Raw genomic sequence first — 22,819 nt, 5'->3', positions numbered from 1 at the left:
TTCTCACCTCCAAGCCCCATCCCATCCAGAAGGCCTGCACACGCAGCAGACTGTAGTCCCCACCCTCCACCCACACCAAGTTTCCGTCTGGCTAGTGACTGAGGCCCTTCTGTGTCTACCCCGTGTAATGTGTAATGTAAAGGTACAAGCTGTTTCTCTTTACCTGAACTGAAAGGATTCCTGCAGTGGGGAGAGGAGGAGCCACTCTCTAAATGGGATTGCAGTTGCCATTTTAAAAATCATTTTTATTATTATTTATTTATTTTTGAGACAGAGTCTTGCTCTTGTTGCCCAGGCTGGAGTGCAATGGCAGCAAGCTTTGCTCACCGTAACCTCCGCCTCCCGGGTTCAAGCGATTCTCCTGTCTCAGCCTCCCAAGTAGCTGAGATTACAGACATGTGCCACCACACTTGGCTAATTTTTATATTTTCAGTAGAGGCAGGGTTTCTCCACATTGGCCAGGCTGGTCTCAAACTCCTGACCTCAAGTGATCCGCCTGCCTCGGCCTCCCCAAGTGGTGGGATTACAGGCATGAGCCACCGCACCCAGCCTTTTTTTTTTTTTTTTTGAGACGGAGTTTCACTCTTGTTGCCCAGGCTGGAGTGCAATGGTGTGATCTTGGCTCACCTCAACCTCTTGCTTCCTGGGTTCAAGCGATTCTCCTGCCTCAGCCTCCTGGGTAGCTGGGACTACAGGCGCCTGCCACCACACCCAGTTAATTTCGTATTTTTCAGAGAGATGGGGTTTCTCCATGTTGGTCAGGCTAGTCTCTGGACCTCAGGTGATCTGCCCACCTCGGCCTCCCAAAGTGCTGGGATTACAGGCGTGAACCACCATGCCTGGCCTGCAGTTGCCATTTTTAATTCTTTTTTTTTTTTTGAGATGGAGTCTCACGCTGTCGCCCAGGCTGGAGTGCAGTGTCGCGATCTTGGCTCACTGCAACCTCCACCTCCCGGGTTCAAGCAATTCTGCCTCAGCCTCCTGAGTAGCTGAGATTACAGGCGCCCGCCACCACGCCTGGCTAATTTTTTTGTTTGTTTGTTTTTGTTTTTTTAGTAGAGATGGGATTTTACCATGTTTGTCAGGCTGGTCTCAAACTCCTAACCTTGTGATCCACAACAGTTGCCGTTTTTAAAATGCTGCTCATTCCTCATTCCCTCTTTCTGGGCCTGATTCCTTTTTTTTTTTTTTTTTTTTTTTTCTTTTTTGGAGAAGGAGTCTCACTCTGTCTCCTAGGCTGGAGTGCAATGGCATGATCTCATTCACTGTAACCTCCGCCTCCTGGGTTCAAGCGATTCTCCTGCCTCAGCCTCCCGAGTAGCTGGGATTACAGGCATCCGCCACCACACCCTGATAATTTTTGTATTTTTAGTAGGGATGGGGTTTCACCTTGTTGGTCAGGCTGGTCTGGAACTCCTGACCTCAGGTGATCCACCACCTCGGCCTCCCAAAGTGCTGGGATTACAGGCGTGAGCCACTGCACCCCACCTGGGCCTGATTCTTATCATTAAAAGGGGAGCAGGAGCTGCTCTCTGGGGTCTCTTACAGCATCAGCATTCTTTTTTTTTTTTTTTTTTTGAGATGGAGTCTGGCTCTGTCACCCAGGATAGAGTGCAGTGGTGCGATCTTGGCTCACTGCAACCTCCACCTCCCAGGTTCAAGCAATTCTCCTGCCTCAGCCTCCTGAGTAGCTGGGATTACAGGCACCCACCACCACACTGGGATTTTGTATTTTTAGTAGAGTCGGGGTTTCACCATGTTGGCCAGGCTGGTCTCGAACTCCTGACCTCAGGTGATCCACCCGCCTCGGCCTCCCAAAGTGCTGGGATTACAGGTGTGAGACACCGCGCCCAGCGCCCGGCTGCATCAACATTCTTGACATTGCTGGTGGGGCTTCACAAAGGTACCCCCAAGGCAACACGCCAGTTCTGCCGCCACCCACCTCCCCCCTCCCCCGCCACCAAAATAAACCCCACAAACAGCAAACAAGTCTGAAAGGTGGCCTTGCAAAGGTCCTTTATGTGTGACTCTAAAAAGTATGGCATTTGTCGTGACTATGAGTGTCAGTCCCTCTTCCCCAATTTCACTCTGCCCTGGACACAGTAGTCAGACCGGTCCTGCTAAATCAGACCTTGTTATGAAGGAAGTCCGGAGTGGACCCGGGGCACAGCTATCGGATGAAATGCAGATGCCTTGCCCTGGGGCCCGAGGCACTCTGGGGACATAGAGGCAGGGCTCAGGACACTTTGGGGGCTCCCCACCTCCTCAGGGGAAGCCCCCGTCTTCCCAATGGGTTTGCACAGGTTGCTCTCCCCCCAACCCCCTCAGCAAACACACGTGATTCTATCTCTCCTCACCCTGTTGTCAACCTCGCTCAGGAACAGCCACCTCAGGACCTTGCTACCTTGCTGCTTGCTCTGCCCTCTACCTGGGACACTCTCCCACACATCTGCCAGGATCCTGCCCTCACCTCCCTTCCATCTTTGCTCAAATGTGTCACCTTCCCTGAGCAACCTATTGCGAATCAAAATCCCCAGCTCCACATTGCCTGCCTCTCTTTTCCTTGCTTAGTTTTTCCACATCCAATTCATGCCCACTGTGGTACAGCAGCTTCACACTGGCTTCCCAGGAGACAGTGAGCACCATGAGGCCAAGGACCTCAGTCTGCTGTTTTCCACTGTGTCCCTCTATGTGGCGCAGAACAGGCATTCCATTACAATTTGTTGAACAAGCGAATGCGTTTTCCATTGACCTTGACCACTCCTTTACCATGTTCTAAGTAGGCCCCAAGGCAAGAGGACTTCCATAGATTCCCAAGGGAGACTCCCCACCCTCAAGAAACTTGCAATGGAGGGAGGGCAGACACACCTGCAATGGAGTGTGCATAAAATAAATGCCAATGCCAAATAGAGGGACAAGCAGGCAGAGCCAGCAAAGGCTGAGAGGAAGGCTTTATGTCTGATTGTGGGTGGCATAGGGTCTGGAAGGCTTTATGAACAAAAGAGGTAATTTTGAAATGGATGCAGAGAGTTAGTGAGTTTTCCATGGGCAATAAACGAGCCAATTACCCCAGGCTGTGGGCAGGTTTACTGTGAACTGGTGGGAGGACCCGAAGGCTGGGATGTCAGGGGAGGGGTGCAGTGAGAGCTGCTCTGGGGACATAGAGGTGGGGCACAGCCTGGACAGACCAAGGCTGTTCATGGCAGAGGTTGTCATCCACTGCTTCTCACCAGCAGGCAATGGGAAGCCATGACAGGATTTTTCTTTGAGAGAGACAGGATCTCAGGCTGGGCGCGGTGGTTCATGCCTGTAATCCCAGCACTTTGGGCGGCAGAGGTGGGTGGATCACTTGAGGTCAGGAGTTGGAGACCAGCCTGGCCAACATGGTAAAACCCTGTCTCTACCAAAAATACAAAAATTAGTTGGGTGTGGTGGCGTGCGCCTATAATCCCAAGTACTCAGGAGGCTGAGGCATGAGAATCACTTGAACCTGGGAGGCACAGGTCGCAGTGAGCCGAGATCACATCACTGCACTCCAGCCTGGGTGACAGAGCAAGACTCCATCTCAAAAATAAATAAATACATCAACAAATAAAAATAATAAGGAGGTGGCCAGGCGCCGTGGCTCATGCCTGTAATCCCAGCACTTTGGGAGGCCGAGGAGGGCGGATCACCTGAGGTTGGGAGTTCAAGACCAGCCTGACCAACATGGAGAAACTGTCCCTACTAAAAATACAAAAATTAGCCAGGCATGGTGGTGCATGCCTATAATCCCAGCTACTCGGGAGGCTGAGGTAGGAGAATCACTTGAACCCGGGAGATGGAGGTTGTAGTGAGCGGAGATCGCGTCATTGCACTCCAGCCTGGGCAACAAGAGCGAAACTCCATCTCAAAATAATAATAATAAAGAGACAGGATATCGCTGTGTTGCCCAGCCTGCAGTGCAGTGGTATGATCATAGTTCACTGCAGCCTCCAACTTCCAGGCTCAAGAGATCCTCCTGCCTCAGCCTCCTGCATAGCTGGGACCACAGGTAGGCCCGGCATTTTTTTTTTTTTAATCAGCTGAATTTAAGACTCTTCTTTTTTTTAACTTTGAAGTTCAGGGGTACATGTGCAGATTTGTTACATAGGTAAACTTGGGTCATGAGGGTTTGTTGTACAGATTATTTCATCACTGAGGAATTAAGCCTAGTACCCATTACTTATTTTTCCTGTTTCTCTCCCTCCTCCTGCTCTCCACCCTTCAGTAGGCCCCAGTGTGTGCTGTTTTCCGCTTTGTGTCCATGTGTTCTCATCATTTAGCTCCCACTTACATGTGAGAACCTGTGGAATTTGTTTTTTGGTTCTTGTGTTAGTTTGCTAAGGACAAGGGCCTCCAGCTCCATCTATGTCCCCGCAAAGGACATGATCTCATTCTTTTCTGTGGCTGCATAGTATTCCATTATGTATATGTACCACATTTTCTTTTTCTTTTCTTTTCTTTTTTTTTTTGAGATGGAGTCTTGCTCTGTCGTCCAGGCTGGAGTGCAGTGGCGAGTTCTCGGCTCGCTGCAAGCTCCACCTCCCAGGTTCATGCCATTCTCCTGCCTCAGCCTCCCGAGTAGCTGGGACTATAGGCGCCCATCACCATGCCCGGCTAATTTTTTGTATTTTTAGTAGAGACGGGGTTTCACCGTGTTAGCCAGGATGGTCTCGATCTCCTGACCTCGTGATCTGCCCACCTCGGCCTCCCGAAGTGCTGGGATTACAGGCATGAGCCACCGCGCTAGGCCCATGACGGGATTTTGAGCAAGGATATGACCCAGTCCAGACTCTATTTGAGAAAGCCCTCCCTGCTGCTGTAGGGGATGGGCCAGAGGCAGAGAGATCCTTTAGGAGAGGTTGCAGGTCAAAGCTGGTGTGGGCTTAGATTTGGGATATTGGTAGTAAGGGTGGGAAAAAGTAACTGAATTTGTGCCCCACCTACCTCCCAGCCACCCTCCGACCAATAGCAAGCGTGACCTTTCTTCATATTGTAATTCTGAGCATCATGTTAGTTTTCCAATGGCTTCTCCTCTCATTGCAGTAAGGACCCCAGACACGGCCCTTCCTGTCTCTGTAGCCTCTTGTTCACTTTTTTTTTTTTTTTTGAGACAGAGTCTCGCTCTGCCTCCCAGGCTGGAGTGCAGTGGCCTGATCTCGGCTCACTGCAACCTCCACCTCCCGGGTTCAAGCCATTCTCCTGCCTTAGCCTCCGGAGTAGCTAGGATTACAGGTGCACGCCACCATGCCCGGGTAATTTTTGTACTTTTTTAAAGTAGAGATGGGGTTTCACCATGTTGTTCAGGCTGGTCTCGAACTCCTGACCTCGTAATCCGCCCACCTCTGCCTCCCAAAGTGCTGGGATTACAGGCGTAAGCCACCGTGCCTGGCCCTTTTTTTTTGCTTTATTTTGTTTTTGTTTTAGAGACAGAGTCTTGCTGTGTCGACCAGGCTGCAGTGCAGTGGTGCCATCTCGGCTCACTGCAACCTCTGCCTCCTGGGTTCAAGCGATTCTCCTGCCTAAGCTTCCCAAGTAGCTGGGAAGCTCAGGCAGGCGCCACCATGCCCAGCTAATTTTTGTATTTTTTGTAAAGACGGGGTTTCGCCATGTTGGCCAGGCTGGTCTCCAACTGCTGACCTCAGGTGATCCACCCACCTCGGCCTCCCAAAGTGCTGGGATTACAGGCGTGAGCCTCTGCGCGTGGCCTCTTTTTCACTCTTTTTTTTTTTTTTTTTTTTTTGAGACTGAGTCTCACTCTGTCTCCAGGCTGGAGTGCAGTGGCACGATCTCGGCTCACTGCAACCTCCACCTCCTGGGTTCAAATGATTCTCCCACCTCAGCCTCCGGATTAGCTGGAATTACAGGCGCGCGCCACCATGCCCGGCTAATTTTTGTATTTTTAGTAGAGACGGGGTTTCACCATGTTGGCCAGGATGGCCTTGATCTCTTGACCTCGTGGTCTGCCCACCTCGGCCTCCCAAAGTGCTGGGATTACAGGAGTGAGCCACCGGGCCTGGCCTCTTTTTCACTCTTAATACCAACTCCGCCTTCTCTCCTTTCCCTCATCGGGGGCGCATACCCGCTGTTTCCACTGCCTCAGGCCCTCTCCCTCCTCTCTCATGCCTAAACAAGTACCACCCACCCTCCAGACCTCAGCCCAGTCCCCAACACCTTCCCTGGGAGACTCCCCGACTTCTGGTCCGCATTTTCCTTTCTCCGTCTGGTCCTTTGTGGTGCTTCTCACAGCCACAGCCACTGTCTGGGTGATTACTTGACTGTCTCACGTGGGCTTCCTTGCAACTAGCACAGGGCCTGGGGCCCAGGAGACACCAGGAAACATCTGCTGAATGAAGACCTGAGCAAGTAAAGGAAAGCCTGTGTTCTTGGGTGCTAGGTGTGGAGGGCACACCCTCTCAGAAGGAAGCAAGCACTCTGTGGGCTGTTTCAGCCAAGCAAGGAAGAGGACCTGGCTGAGGGGAGGGGGAATGAGGAAAAGAGAGGACTTAATTCAGTCAAGCAGTGGATTCGCTGCATATCCACCTCCTTCCTAGAGGGAGGCCCAAGGGCACTCCCCTTTGGCTGCCACAGGGCCCAGCTGGGGACCTGGAGGGAGGTGGGTTCCGGGAACACCCTCCTCTTTATTTCTAAGCACTAGAATCCTGTGACCGATATGCAGTGCTGGCCAGGGCTTTGACTTGCAAAGAGAGCACTGAAGTCCGAAGAGCACTGCCTGTAGGTCAGGCGGGCGTGGCGAGGAAAAGCAGGAGCTGGCTCCGCATCCTGTCACTTACCAGCTATGTGACTTTGGCAAGTGACTTCACCTATCTCCACCCCAGTATCTTCTTCTTCTTCTTCTTCTTCTTATTATTATTATTACTATTATTATTTTGAGATGGAGTCTCGCTCTGTCGACCAGGCTGGAGTGCAGTGGCATGATCTTGGCTCACTGCAACCTCCACCTCCCGGGTTCCAGCTATTCTCCTGCCTCAGCCTCCCGAGTAGCTGGTACTACAGGTGTGTGCCACCACGCCCGGCTAATTTTTGTATTTTTAGTAGAGACAGGGTTTCACCATGTTGGCCAGGCTGGTCTCGAACTCCTGACCTCAAGTGATCCACCCATCTCAGCCTCCCAAAGTGCTGGGATTACAGGCATGAGCCACCGCGCCTGGCTAGTTTCTCCATTTTCACAATGAGCCTTGTAATAGTACCTACCTTATAAATGCTGGGGATTAAACAAATTAATACACATGAAGTATTTAGAGCAATGCTTGGCACAAAAATAAGTGCCCAAGAAGGGTTCACTGTTCTAACAGAGTCACCTTTGATTTCACTCTTAATTCTTCAGACAGTGCAGAAGAGCAGTCACTGAAGGAAAATCCAAACCTCGGTAGCACAGGCTTTGAACTGTGTTTTTCTACAACCAAGAGAGTTGCCTTTGCTGGGAATTGCATCTGTCTGTGACCTGAGCTGTAGAATCAAGGCATCATGGCTGGGTGCATCTGAACACACACACCCACACCCACGCTAGCCCTACTTCAACAAATATTTATGCTGCAACACCTGGTGGGGTGCCGGTCCTGTGTATCTTGGTCTGTGCCAGAAGCGGTGAGGGGCACTTGGGCCATCGCGCTGCCAGGGTCCGGCAGCAGCTCCTCCAGAGCAAGGACTGAGTTCCGTTCACCTCTCAATGGCTCCACCTCCACAGTGCCCCGCCCAAGGCCTGGCACAAAGTACAAGCTGAGTGAGTGTTTGCTGTGTGGGAGAGTTTTGTCTCCAGCAGAACGGACCTGCATTTGGGAAGTGGACAGGTGAGTGTCACCCGCATCCTTGCCTTCTGGCTGGACAGGTGATATTGCTCCATGAAGTATCGGGCAAACAGCTGTGTTGCCAAAACCAAACCAAGAAAGGTACAGTAGAGGGACTAGTAACCCAGGAGCTATAGGATGTGGCTCTGCTCTCTGCTCTTCTACAGCTTCAAGAGGCTTTGGCAAATTCCTGAGCTTCACTGGTCCTCAGTTTCCCGTTCTGTACAGTCAGCGAGTCTTACTAGATACTGGATCATCTCCAGGGCTCTTTCTTGTACTAATAGCCACTGGAGCATAAGCTCCTTAAAAGAGGGCAGAAATTTTGTTTTGTTTTGGTTTGGTTTTCCTCCTAATGTTTCCCAGATGCCTTGAAGAAAGTCCATTGTATATGCCCAGTGAATAGTTGCTGAATGAATGGATGAAGACGCTGCGATTCTAAGGTCTTGTAGTGAACTGGAAAAGGTATGGTTTGTTTTTGTTTCGGGGTTTTTGGATTTTTTGAGATGAGGTCTCACTCTCTCACCCAGGCTGAAAGTGTAGTAGCGTGATCGCAGCTCACCGCAATCTCAAACTCCTGGGCCCAAGTGATCTTCCTACCTCAGTATCTGGGACTACAGGGGCGTGCCACCACACCTAGCTAATTTGAAAAGGTATGTTTGTATTCATAAACAGATCCCCTTTGTTTGGTAATCATCTTTTCTAGTGATTCTGGACAGCTTGGTGTCAGATTCACTGTGCCTCTCAGATCAGCCTGCCTCAAGATGTTTCAAGTAAAAACCTTTCTTTTAAACATGATTTGTCTAGACTATCATCTCAACTTTCCATTTACTTTTGGTTATGTTTTTACCTGGTCTGCATGATTCACTGGTTATCAGAGAAAAGTACAATCAGATAAAATGATAAGAGTAAGGAACTGTAAACAGAAACAGCAAATGGCCCAATTCAAAGCGGAGAACATGATGTGAATGGTAATGATGCCACCTTGCATTTTGTTCCTTAACAGTTTGCCTGGTGCTTGCGTATCTGCTGTCTGACTTGCACCCCCTAATGATCACGTGGGATGTTTTGGCATATTTTGGAAAAACTGCAACCCAGAGGAGGCAACTGTTTTGTCCAAGTATACCAGGCCATCTGTGAGAAAACTGGAACTCTGCCTCTCTGTCTTTTTATTTTTATTCTTTTGAGACAGGATCTCACTCTTTTGCTCAGGCAGGAGTGCAGTGGTGCAATCATAGCTCACAGCAGCCTCGAGCTCCTGAGTTCCAGTGATCCTCCCCTCTCAGTCTTTGTAACAGGCTTTACTGCCTGGTTGTTTTCAGTGAGCAAACAAACAAGGAGAGGGTTAGATGCACAGAGGGCATCTGTTTCCCGTTCTGTACAGTCCGGTGTCAGTGACCATTCAGGACTCTTCTGCCTGCAGACAGCCAGAGAAAAGGGCAGCAAAGGTGAAAGGGCCTGAGGGCAATTGCTGAAGTCATCAATTACGTGACCTGCCACTACCTCACCTCAGTGTGTCCCAAACTAAATTCCCCAACCTCGGCCCCGGCCCCCATATCCGTGCTTAGAGAATGGCACCACCATCCCCCCAGCGTCCCGCCTGGCTCTTCCCTCGCCCTCACTTCCCGTATCCAGGCTACCAGCAAATCCTAAACATGTCCGAATCCAGCTGCTCCTCCCCACCTCTCACTACCAAGCAGAGATCGTCTATCTGTCTCTCCCTTAACTCGTCTCCCTGCTCAGCCGTCTCCTATCATCTGGAGGGAACTTTTTACTTTTTAAACATTTTTATTATTTTTAATTTTTTTGTAGTAACAGGGTATCCCTTTGCTGCTCAGTTTGGCCTCAAATCGCCTGGCTTCAAGCAATCCACCCACCTTGGCCTCCCAAAGCGCTGAGATTACAGAGATGAGCCTTCACACCTGGCTGAATTTTTATAAATACACATTTTTCTGTCTTGTTTAAAATTCTGGCCCGGCACAGTGACTCACGCCTGTAATCCCAGCACTTTGGGAGGCTGAGGCGGGTGGATCACCTGAGGTCAGGAGTTCGAGACCAGCCTGGCCAACATGGTGAAACCCTGTCTCTACTAAAAATACAAAAATTAGCCAGGTGTGGTGGCCGGCGCTTGTAGTCTCAGCTACTTGGGAGGCTGAGGCAAGAGAATCACTTGAACCCAGGAGGCAGAGGTTGCAGTGAGCTGAGATCACACCATTGCACTCCAGCATGGGCAACAAGAGTGAAACTCCATCTCAAAAAATAAAATAAAACCCTTCATGACTCTTCATTACCTTGAGAGAAAGCCACAGAAAGACCCTTCAAGGCAGGGCACAGTGGCTCATGCCTGTAATCCCAGCATTAGGAGGCTAAGGTGAGATGATTGCTTGAGCCCAGGAGTTCAAGGCCAGCCTGGGCAACATGGCAAAACCCCATCTCCACAAAAAATAAAATAATTAGCTAAGTGCGGTGGTACGTGCTTATAGTCCTGGCTCCTTGGAGGCTGAGGCAGGAGGATCACTTGAGCCTGGAAGATTAAGGCTGCAGTGAGCTATAATTGCACCACTGCACTCCAGCCAGGGCAACAGAGTAGAGTGAGACATTGTCTCAGAAAAAAAAAAAAAAAAAAAACCTCCAAGATTCAGTTCCAGCCAGGTTCCTGCCACCAACCTCCCCCACCCACCAACTGCACACACATTTCATGATCCCTCTCAGCACTTCTCTGTCTCCAAGCACTTTGCTCACACTATTCCTGAGGACCAGAATGCCCTTTCTCCTTTATCTCTATGGAGATTCTGCTTACTCTTCAATCTCAATCAGCACCTTCCTCCTGAGGCCTCCTTGATGCCAATGCCTGCCTTAGATTGAAATGAGCCAGCTCAGCAACACAGCGCTTGATTGGCAGCTCTGCAAGAGCCCAGAGCTGAGGGTGGGCTGGGCGTTCCAGGTGGTTTGGTACCTGCCGGGCTCTTCCACCACACCTGGTGCACCCCCAGGGTGGGAACCACCTCCCAGAGCTCTCTAGACCACCCATTGCCCTGCAGGGTTTGTTCCTTACTAGGAGCTCCCAGTAAAATTGGAACAGAATTAAATTAGCTTGCCGGTGTTCAGGGATGAAGGGCAGCATCATTTGGTAATAAGTGCAGCAACCTGAAAGCTCTGAGGGAAAAAAAGGGTGAAGAGAGAGAAAGAAAGATCCACAGTGGCCTTGCTGTTGCTGCTGCCACTGCTGCGGTGGCCTCTGGGAAGTGTCTCCCTCCAGCTTTCTGCCTTTAATCCTAAGAATTGGGTGATGCTGGCCCGGGCGCGGTGGTTCACGCCTGTAATTCCAGCACTTTGGGAGGGCGAGGTGGGCAGATCACGAGGTCAGGAGATCGAAACCATCCTGGCCAACTTGGTGAAGCCCCATCTCTATTAAAAATACAAAAATTAGCTAGGCGTGGTGGCACGCGCCTGTAGTCCCAGCTACTCAGGAGGCTGAGGCACCAGAATTGCTTGAACCCGGGAGGTGGAGGTTGTAGGGAGCCGAGATTGCACCACTGCACTCTGGCCTGGTGACAGAGCGAGACTCCATCTCAAAAAAAAAAAAAAAGGAACTGGGTGATGCTAATGATGATGATAAGCTAAGGATTCGACAGAAATCCGGCTTCTGGAACACTTGATTGGGGGATCTGGAGGGAAGTGAGTACCAAATCAGGCATTGCCCTCTCTCCTTTAGATCTTGCTCCACTAATGTGACACCTGATTATGTGATAAGCTCAGCATATGTTGCTACTTAATTTAAATATTTATGGTTGGTTTTCAAATCAGCTCTTAACTTGCCAGAGTGTTGAGACTCTATGAATCATACAACTTTCCAAGTGGAAGGACCATTAGCATCTAATGTAAACTTTTCCTTTTCTAGATGGGGAACTGAGTCCCAGGGAGGGCCAGGAGCTGGCTCAAGGTCACATGAATGTTAGTGGCAGAGCTGGGCCTAGAACCCGGGGCTCCTGCCTCATGGCCCAGGGCTCTGTCCACTGCACCACACTGCCCGCCTCTTTCACCAAAATGAAAACTAGAAAACTTTGGAGCAAACTCCAAACTCCTGGATGCCAATGCCTGCCTTAGATTGAAATGAGCCAGCACAGCAACACAGCGTTTGATTGGCAAGCATGCTGGTGTGTTAGTTGTGAGCTGTGTTGGTTGTGAGCTATGTTTATACAGCATCAGGGGAAAAGGAGGCACATCATTCTCTAGGAAAGGAAATAAAGAAAGTGGATGTAGATGGCGAGATAGTTCACTTAAGCCTGAGAGAAGTGTAAGTGATCTCCCACCATCTCACCTGTCCCCTACCCCAGCAAAGCCACTCCATAGAGTTGGTGCCATTCCGGTTGATCTGAGTGTATGAACTGGCCTTTGGAATATACCACTCTGCCCCTCCCTCCAAATGGCGAGGGTGGGGACAGACTTCTCAGGCCCTGCTGACGGATCTTGTTTTACCCAAGCCTCTATTTTTGTTTTGTTTTGGAGAGATGGGGTCTCACTTTGTTGTCCAGGCTGGTCTCCAACTCCTAGGCTCAAGCGATCCTCCCACCTCAACCTCCCAAAGTTCTGGGATTATGGGTGTGAACCACAGCACCTGGCTTCCCAAACCTCTTGATCAATTTGTATCCATATGAGTACCCCACCAGCTGCACTTCACCTCCAGAAACTCAGAATGGTACAACAGCCTTGCAGAATGAGACTTTGAGCAGGCTGGAATATAACTGAGTCCAGGTGAGGATACATCCTGGTGGGGGTATGTCCTGGTGGGCATATAGTCTTGCTGTCATGTTGTCTTGAGAGCTTTGAATACAAAATTGTACTGCGGGCATGTGGTGGGTGCAGAGGTCAAAAGCACAGGCTCCCAGCCTGGGCAACGTAGTGAGATCCTGCCTCTGCCAAAGATGAAAAAATTAGCTGGGTGTGGTGGTGCATGCTGTAGCTGTAGTTCCAGCTACTCAGGAGGCTGAGGTGGGAGGATTATTTGAGCCCAACAGGTCAAAGCTGCAGTGAGGCATGATTACGCCATTGCACTCCAGCCTGGGCAACAGGGCAGAGACCCTGTCAAAAAAACAAAAATAAATAAAAAATAAATAAAAACACACAGGCTTTGGAGTCAGAGAGACCTGGGTTTATGCCTCAACTCTGTCTGTTCCTAGCTGAGCACCCTTGGGCTGGTTGCTGACCCTCTCTGTATCTCAGTTTCCTCACTGATAAAATGGGTCTGATAATACCCACTTCATAGGATTATTGTGACAATTGTAGGGAAAAAGTATGGAGTGCACTGTATCAAGGTCCAGGCACATATGGAAGCATTCAATAAATGTGATTGTCCTAGAAAGGTGAAATAACGGGCAATCTTTTTTTTTTAGACGGAGTCTCGCTCTGTTGCCCAGGCTGGAGTGCTCGATCTCGGCTCACTGCAACCTCCACCTCCCAGGTTCAAGCGATTCTTCTGCCTTAGCCTCCTGAGTAGGTGGGACTAGAGGCACCTGCCACCACGCCCAGCCAATTTTTTGTATTTTTAGTAGAGACGGGGTTTCACTATGTTGGCCAGGCTGGTCTCAAACTCCTGACCTCGTGATCCACCCGCCTCGGCCTTGCAAAGTGCTGGGATTACAGGCATGAGCCACTGCGCCTGGCCCAACAGGTGATCTTTTATTCTATTTCTTTTTTCTTTCTTTTCTTTTTTTTTTTTTTTTTGGAGGTAGAGTATCTTAAAAAATTCTACTTCTTTATACTATTTGATACGAATCAGGAATTACTTTTATGACCAGAAAAAATACAGTATAAAGGGAGAAAAAAACCTATGCAACAAAACATTTTTCAAATAGATCCTAGAAGGTACAGGTACCTGTGAGGTAATTCTGAGGATCTGGGAGTCCTCACATATGTCATCCCCACTATCAGGGGGTGGACAGGATGTTGCCAGGTCACAGGGAAAAGGAAAGAGCTTAAGCTGGGAAGCAGGTACCAAAACCTGTGGTCCTAACTTGTGCCCTGGGGCCAGCATTTGGTGTTTCTCTTTATATTGCCCTGTGGTTATGCATGGTGCACGCTATCTTCTGGCAGCAAAGCCAACCAAAGCGAAACGAAAACCAACTCATGATTTTCACTAGACTTGTTGTTGTTGTTGTTGTTGAGACAGGGTCTCGCTCTGTTGCCCAGAGTGGAGTGTGGTGGTGCGATCTCCGCTCACTGCAACCTCCACCTAGGTTCAAGCAATTCTCGTGCCTCAGCTTCCCAAGTAGCTGGGATTACAGGTGCGTACCACCATGCCCGGCTAACTTTTGTATTTTTAGTAGAGACAGGTTTTTGCCATGTTGGCCAGGCTGGTCTCAAACTTCTGGCCTCAAGTGATCTGTTCGCCTCAGTCACCCAAAGTGCTGGGATTACAGGGATGAACTGCTGTGCCCAGCCTCCACTACACTTTAGCAGAAATAAAAACATCTCAGCTCAGGCACAGCTCTCAAATCTACAGTCTTTCATGATGAAGGAGTCAAGTTTGGGTTCCCTATTCCTGAGTTAAATAAAAAGTAATGCTGTACTTTTCGGTTTTGTTTTTTAGTTTTTTGTTTGTTTGTTTGTTTTTTGGTTTTTTTGTTTGTTTGTTTGTTTTTAGACAGAGTCTCACTCTGTTGTCCAGGCTGGAGTGCAGTGGTGTGATCTCGGCTCACTGCGACCTCCGCCTCCCAGGTTTGAGCAATTCTCTGCCTCAGCCTCCCGAGTACCTGGGATTACCAGCACCTGCCACCACGCCCAGCTAATTTTTTTGTTTTTAGTGGAGACAGGGGTTTCACCATGTTGGCCAGGCTGGTCTTGAACTCCTGACCTCATGATCCACCCACCTTGACCTCCCAAAGTGCTGGGATTATAAGCGTGAGCTACCGTACCCGGTCTTCTTTTAGGTTCTTTAAGACATAAGAATGTATAGAAAGCTACTGAGATAGGAATTATTTGGGGGAAAGGGGATCTTAGAACCTGATTTTTGAAAGGGCCTGTGGTAGGCTACAAACTGGTCCCCCAGTAGAGATCCACATTCTAATCACCAAAACCTGTAAGTGTTAACTTACTTGTTTTGTTTCCTCTCTCTCTTATTACCCACAATAATGTTAATTTAAATGGCAAAAATAAATAAATAAATAAAATGAGGTTTATGTACATGTGATCATGTTTAGGATTTTGAGATGGGGACACTATTCTGGATTATCTGGGTAGGTCCTACATGCAACCACGTATATCCTTATGAGGGAGGCAGAGAAAGATTTGATGCACAGATGAGAAGGTGATGTGAAGCTGGAGCAGAGACAGATTTGAAGATGCTGGTCTTAAAGATCAGAGTGATGCATCCTTAAGCCAAGAAATGCAGGAAGTTGCCAGAAGCTGGAAGAGACAAGGAATGGATTCTCCCTTTGAGCTTCCAGAGGAAACAGGGCCCTGCCAGCACCTTGGTTTCAACCCAGAGATACTGATTTTAGACTTCCGGCCTCCAGAACCGTGAAAGGCTAAATATTCCTGTTGTTCAAAGCCCCCTAGTTTGTAGTACTTTGTTATGGCAGCCCAGGAAACTAACACAGAGTCCTTAGAGTTCATCTAGTCCAAGGTATGGGCTTTTTCCTTTGTTTGTTTGTTTGTTTGTTTTTGAGACAGGCTCTCCCTCTGTTGCCCAGGCTGAAGTACAGTGATGCAATCATGGCTCACTGCAGCCTCGACCTCCCAGGCTGAAGCAATCCTCCCACCTCAGCCTCCCAAGTAGCTGGGACCACAGTTGGGCACCACCGTGCCCAGCTAATTTTGTTTTGTTTTTAGTAAAGACAGGGTCCCAGTATGCTACCCAGGCTGGTCTCAAACTCCTGGGCTCAAGCAATCCTCCTCGGCCTCCCAAAGTGTTGGGATTACAGGCATGAACCACCATGCTCAGTCTCTAATGATTTTCTTAGCACCGAAATCAATTACTTTTCAAATGAAATCATTGCCTATAGAAACAACAGATGCAAACAGAGGAGTGATGATTGAAAAAGGAGGTCCAGATCCCCACCTGCTAAATCCCCTCAATGGTGGCTCCTGAAGCACCTCCCAGGACCTTCCACCAACAGAGTGTGAAAACACTTGTCTAGTTTCAACCTCATTGTACAGATGAATAACTTGAGCCTCTAGGGGCTGAGTGATTGGCTGAAGGCCTCCCTTAGCAGGCAGCAAGGAACACTTATGGGGAGGAAAACAAGGCAAGTTACTCCTGCCTGCTCTCTCATCTTCCCTTGCCTGGTTTGGCCAAATCCCTGTCTCCCAAGCAAACAACTAAGAATACGTTGCTGTCTCTATATGAATTTTGTTTTTAGCACTAGTTCCAGTTTTGAACAGGGACTGCCAGCTGTGTCAAATATGGCGAGGCTCAAATGAAGTATTTGCTCATGAAGAGCACAGACCTGGAGCAGGCTGTTAAGGCATCTTCGGAGATGAAAAATTACTGCCTGATTCCTCACCTGTATTTGCAAATTGAGTCTCGTGGGTATGACTGCAACAGTGGGTGTGAGGAGGTGGGCAGGAATGAATAGCAAAGTTAACCAGCTGTCGGTGAACCCGGAAATATGAATCCCTAAGTGGATCAAGAAGAGCCCAGATAAGAGCACAGGTGAATGCCACATCACATTTTTCTTGTTGTTGTTAGATTTTAAAACATTTAAGGTCAGTTCTGCTAAAAGGCCTTTGTGGAGGATAAAGAAAAGGTTATAATAAAATATTACTCCCCTTTTCCCTCTGGCCTTGGTACTAACAGACAAGACATTAAAAGTCAGGTTCTCTTTCCTTCCCAAGCATAGTCAAGATAGGATGGCATTTTCTCCTTCCTTCCTTCCTTCCTTCCTTCCTTCCTTCCTTCCTTCCTTTCTTTTTTTGATGGAGTCTCACTCTGTCGCCCAGGCTGGAGTGCAGTGGCGTGATCTCGGCTCACTGCAACCTCCACCTCCCGGGTTCAAACCATTCTCGTGCCTCAGCCTTCCGGGTAGCTGGGATTACAGGCGTGTGCCACCATGCCTGGCTAATTTTTGTATTTTTAGTGGAGATGGGGTTTCACTATGTTGGCCAGGCTGGTCTTGAACTCCTGACCTCAAATAATCCTCCCGCCTTGGCCTCCCAAAGTGCTGGAATTACAGACGTGAGCCACCGTACATGGTAGGACGGCATTTTCAAAGGGAACTTTACAAGGAACTATGAGGAACCCAATGGGGCATTAAACAAACAAGATCCAAACCCTCTCCAGGGGTTAAAAATGACTGACCGTTTACCAAGCTGATTCCGAATTCGCGACCGTTTAGATGCCTATTTCCAGGGCCACTGGCCTCATCCCTGCTACTTGACCAAGTGGCACTGAGAGAAGTATTGCATCCGGAAAGAGGAAGGCCAGGGTGTGTTCCAAGAATGAATCAAATAATGGGAAGCCTAACTAAGACCAGTGGATGAGCCAACAATGCCAGCTGGCTGCTCAAGGCTGCTGGGAGGGAACACTCAGTGCAGCAGATGGAACACAACTGGCAGGCAACAGCAAATGGCATTAGTGTGGCTTCCTTTGTTCCTTGGTGTTGCTAGGGAGGATGTCCTCTCTCCATTCTGCAGGCCACATGGTTCCACCCTCCCCAAACAGTAGGGAAGGATGAAGGTCCCTAGCTGCCACCCACTGCTGCTCCAACTGAAGGAACAATGTGTCTTTTTAATTTATTTATTATTTATTTATTTATATTTGTTTATTTATTTTTTGAGACAGGCGTGGCTCTGTCGCCCACACTGGAGTGCAGTGGCACCATCATGGCTCACTGTAGCCTCGACCTCCCAGGTTCAAGAGATCCTCCCACCTCAGCCTCCTGGGTAGCTGGGACTTCAGGCATGTATTGCCATGCCCGGATTTTTTTTTTTTTTTTCCCCGAGACGGAGTCTTGCTCTGTCGCCTAGGCTGGAGTGCAATGGCACGATCTCTGCTCACTGCAACCTCCGCCTCCCAGGTTCAAGCAATTCTCCTGTCTCAGCCTCTGGAGTAGCTGGGACTATAGTCGCGCTCCACCACGCCCAGCTAATTTTGAGTAGAAATGAGGTTTCGCGATCTTGACCAGGCTGGTCTCGAACTCCTGACCTCAGGTGATCCACCTGCGTCACCCTCCCAAAGTGCTGGGATTACAGGTGTGAGCCACCACGCCCGGTCTATGCCCAGATAATTAATTTTTTTTTTTTTTTTTTGTAGAGACAAGTTGTTACCTGCTGTGTTGCCCAGGCTGGGGGACCATGTGTCTTTATGCAAAACACACCAGGCACTTGCAGAGGTGGCCAGCTTTCCCCAGAAAGGACCTCTCACAGACTTTTTCTTTCCATTTGTTTGTTTGTTTGTTTGTTTGTTTGGCTTTCAGGTAATGTTGCTTCTCAATTCATGATCTCACCATCATTGGTCTGTGAGATTCTTCTCTGGCTGAATCAATCTATCCATCTCTCCAGTCTTTTTAATTACTGTTTTCCACTCTAATGCTCCTCCCCTCAGTGGCAACCACTCAAGTGTGTGCTCTGTCAAACTGTGTAGAGGGGTGTGTGTGTGTGTGTGTGTGTGTGTGTGTGTGTGTGTGTTTTCAGTAAACATAAGTGGTAGTGGCCTGGAGAGTGTGTTCAGTCTCTTACTGGGTGCTTTTCCACTGAGCCCTGTGTGTGTTAACTGTCCATGCTGCTGTGTGTTCCTGAGTTGCTTGTAACCACTCATTTGCTTCTATTTTTCCCCAGTGGTGGACACCTGGATTGCCTCCAATTCTGTCCTAGCACAGGCTCTGTACAATAAACATCCTTGCATGGGTCCCTATAGCAGGCTCAAGATGGACCCCAAAGGTATCAGGTCCTAATGCTTGGAGTCTGTGAATGTTGCCTTATATGGAAAAAGGGTCTTTGCGGATGTGATCGTGTTGAGGATTTTGAGATGGGGAGATTATCCTGGGTTATCAGGGTGGGCTGGAAAGGAAGTCACATGTTGTATTGGTTTTCTGTGGTTGCTGTAACAAAGTACTGTACCACAAATTTGGTGGCTTAAGACAATAGAAATCTACTCTCTCACTGTTCTGGAGGCCAGAAGTCTGAAATCAAGGTGTCAGGAGGGCCACAGTGCCTCCGAATCCCCTCCTTGCCTCTTCCGGATTCTAGTGGACTCAGGTGTTCCTTGGTTTGTGGCAGCATCACTCCAACCTCTGCCTCGTCTTCACATGGTCTTCCCTGTCTCTCTGTCCTTTTGTCCTCTTATAAGGACAGCAGAAATTGGATTAAGGGCCCCTCCTACTCCAGTATGACCTCATCTTAACAAATTACATCTTCAAAGACCCTATTTCCAAATAAGGTCACTTTCTGAGGTTCTAAGTGAATGTGAATTTGGGGGGACATTATTCAGCCCACTACTCTTATATCCTTATAAAAGAGAAGCAGAGGTAGATTTGACACTCACACAGAGAAGGCAGAGTGAAGAGGGAGCGGAGAGATTCGAAGATGCTGGCCTTGAACATCAAAGCGATGCAGCCGCAGACCAGGGAAGGCTGGCAGCCACCAGAAGCTGGAAGAAGCAAGGAGTGGAGACCCCCCAGAACCTCCTGAGAGAGCATAGCCCTGCTGACATCTGGGGTTCGGCCAAAGGATACTGATTTTGGACCTCTTGACTCCAGAAGTATCAGAGAATACATTTCTGTTGTTTTGAGCCATTGAGTTTGTGATATTTTGTTACAGCAGCCACAAGATACTCAGTCCCTTTGTGGGCCTGCAGGAGAATTTCTTGAGGTTATACCCAAGAATGGGCTTACTGGGACAGTGTGGGCACAGACAAGATTTGGCTAAATGCTACTAGGTGGCTCTCCAAAGCGCCTGCATCCATCTAGCAGGACTCCCAGCAGCGGCACACAATGGTTCCTCCTTCTGCTTATTCTAGCCAACACTTGGCATCATACAGCTGATTTTTGCCAATCTGACATGTGTGTATCCTATGTCATTGTTGTCATTTCCATTTCTCCGATTACTAATGAATCTGGGATCCCAGCATCTCTTCACATACTTACTTGCCAGCCTTTTCAGTTTCTTCTCCTAAGAATTGCCTATGCATATGCTTTGCTCATTTTCCTGTTGGGTCTTTTTCTTGTTGTTTTGCAGAATGTTCTTGCATATTTTATCCATTAATCTCCTGTTGCTTTTAAACAGCAAATATCTTCTCCCCATCTGTTGTCTGTCTGTTAATTCTATCTGTGCTGTCCTTCATGGAAAGGAATCCTTAATTTTGCTGTAATCAAACCTAATTTGAGTGCTCATTTCAGCAACACATATACTAAAGTTGGAACTATATAGATAAGATTAGCATGGCCCCTGCACAAGTTCACGAAGTGTTCCATATAATTAAAACAAATAAAATACAATAACAAATCTAATTCAAGGCTGACAACAGAAGGGTGGATGGGTCAGGGACTATTGTGCAAACAGAGTAAGTGCTACCGTGTGTGTGTGTGTGTGTGTGTGTGTGTGTGTGTGTGTGTGTGTGTTGTGCATGCGTGCAACCTCTAACTGAATGTCAACTCCCAGGAATGGGTCTATTGCCCAAACTTTAGGCTTAACTGCTCCCCTGCTCCCTGCAGTAACACATACAGTTCAGTAAAAGCAGTTCTCAGATGTCCCTGTGCACTGGAATCACCCCAGAGGCTTGCTAAAACCCAGATTACTGGGTGCCACCCCCAGAGTTGCTGAGTCAGCAAATCCGGAGTGGAGGCCCAGGGATCTGTGTCACAGATAAGCTCCCAGTGACACTGATGTTAGTGGCCCAGAGGCTCACTTGGAGAACCACTCTAGGGTACGCAGGGAATGCCAGCATGTTGCTGAGGCTCTGAAGAAATAGAAAGTATGGCTGCTTGTCAGCTGGCCAAGCAGCACCAGGAAGACTGAGGAAGATAGGAAAGTCACTCGTAATCACTGAATGCCGGTGCTAAAAGGCACCTCTGGGGCCACAAAGGCCAAAATATTTGACGGAGGTCAAAAATGAGACCCAAAGGGCGTCAGTTACTTGACCAAGGTCACCCACTTAAGTGGTGGCTGAGGTCCTGTGTGGTGGCTCACACCTGTAATCCCACACTTTGGGAGGCTGAGGTGGGAGGATTCCTTGAGCCCAGGAGTTTGAGACCAGCCTGGGCAACATAGGGAGACTCCATCTGTAGAAAAATAAATAAATAAATAAATAAATAAATGTTGGCCGAGGCCAGACTGCCTGATATCAATGCTGTTTTCTCTTCACATTCCCCACCCTAGTTCTCCTAAGGGACACATGTGCGCCCCTCCACAGCTTGAGGACTTGCTTTGAAATGGTGGAGGGGCGCCCTTGACAGTCACCCCATAATATTTCCCACCAGCACGACCTTTATCACAGCTTGTCCAGCAGAAAGAAGCCACGCAGTGCCTAGAATGCATCCATGTGACATGCAGCCCTGCCATCCCTCATTCCTTCCTTTTTGGGCATTCTGAGCAGCACTGGGGGCCATTGGGTGTGTATAGGAAGGGAACGTGGAGTGGTGGATGGGGAGGCCTAGACAGATCCGCCCCAACACCCCGGCAGATTCTATCCCTGCTTGTCTCTGTCACTCACACTGGCAGTAGGCTTCCTGGGGCAAGGACAAGGGCTTCCTCCTCATGCCCACTGGCCCCGCATTTGGGACCCAATGCCTCTCCCCACCCCCCAGGCAGGAGGGCAGGAGAGCAGGAGGGGAAGGGGACTTGATCCTGGCCTCCTCCTCCATCTGGCAAGGGAGATAGCATATTTTCTGGGCTGGCAGTGAAGAATGGGGAAGGATAGTGGAGAAGCTAAAGCCAGGGGCAGCAACCCCTATGCTATGCAGCTCCGCAAGGCGACAGGGCCCCCTCCAAGAGAGGAGACTGGCTGGGGAGGAAGGGAAATAGAGAGGGGAGTTGGAGGTTGGAGAGAAAGGAGGGAAGGGAGGTGGGGAGGTGGTGCAAGAAAACAGAGAAGGAGGGGGGACAGAGGTGAAAGTGGTATGGAGGGGGAAGGGAAACTGAAAGGGAGGGGAAGAGGACGCAGGGGAGGGAATGGGCAATAGGCTTGGAGAACGAATGACTGAAGGTGGCTCCTCCAAGAGGGACCCTGCAGGGAGGCAGCTGGGTGAAGCGGAAGAGCCTCTGGTGCCCCAGCCACAGCAGGTAGTGGGGGATGGCTCAGTGCATGGGGAGCGGGAAGCTGGGGCCCTGGGGGCTCCTGTGAATGAGGAGAGGACATGGGAAGGGCTTTGGAAAGGGTGATATGCTTTTTGAAAAAGAAGCAGTACAGGGGGATGGCCCTGACACTATCAGCCCCCACTTTACCCCTACCCCTACCGCCCCATCTTGTCTGTTTTTGTGTTTTCTGAGACTAGCTTCACTTTTTCGTTTATTTATTTGTTTAGAGACAGGGTCTCACTGTGTCACCCAGGCTGGAGTGCAGTGGTGCGATCACAGTTCACTGCAGCCTTGAACTCCTAGGCTCCAGTGATCCTCCTGGCTCAGCCTCCCAAGTAGCTGGGACTACAGGCACACACCACCGCACCTGGCTAATTTTTTTTTTTTTTCTGAGAGATGAGGTCTCACTATGTTGCCCAGGCTGGTCTCCAACTCTTAGCCTCAAGTGATCCTCCCATCTCAGCTTCCCAAAGCACTGGGAATACAGGCATGAGCCGTAGCACCCAGCCTTTCCACCCCACCTTGCATTCTCCCTCTTACCTTTCAGTTCTGGAAGTCCAGCCTCTCCTGTTTTCAGCAAACCATCAGCCAGGCTGGGGAGATTGGCAAGGCATTCAGAGACCCCAGTGCCATGGGTTGCCTACCATGCCAATCAGACCTTCCACTACTCACTGGGCCACTGGGCACCCAACTGCACCAAGCCCCACTGGCCTTGGGGCCACAGAGTGGAGTCAGGCATAGGCCCTGCCAGCTGGGCTCAG

The 22,819-nt window shown here is 49.3% G+C and overlaps 1 pseudogene, besides 1 other annotated feature; it reads left to right on the top strand.

Annotated features, from left to right (window-relative positions):
* Positions 7,666-8,183: an enhancer, noted in NCBI's record as "H3K4me1 hESC enhancer chrX:150136026-150136543 (GRCh37/hg19 assembly coordinates)". NCBI's record gives its function as "activates a minimal SCP1, AML or CMV promoter by ChIP-STARR-seq in primed H9 embryonic stem cells {active_cell/tissue: H9 hESC(primed)}" and the evidence as "EXISTENCE:reporter gene assay evidence [ECO:0000049][PMID:30033119]".
* Positions 20,091-20,184, top strand: RNU6-383P (RNA, U6 small nuclear 383, pseudogene; annotated as a pseudogene).

This window comes from Homo sapiens, chromosome X (assembly GCF_000001405.40).
Source record: "Homo sapiens chromosome X, GRCh38.p14 Primary Assembly".
Classification (NCBI taxonomy): domain Eukaryota; kingdom Metazoa; phylum Chordata; class Mammalia; order Primates; family Hominidae; genus Homo; species Homo sapiens.
Note: the sequence above shows the minus strand (reverse complement) of the source record. Positions and strands in the feature narration are given on the sequence as shown.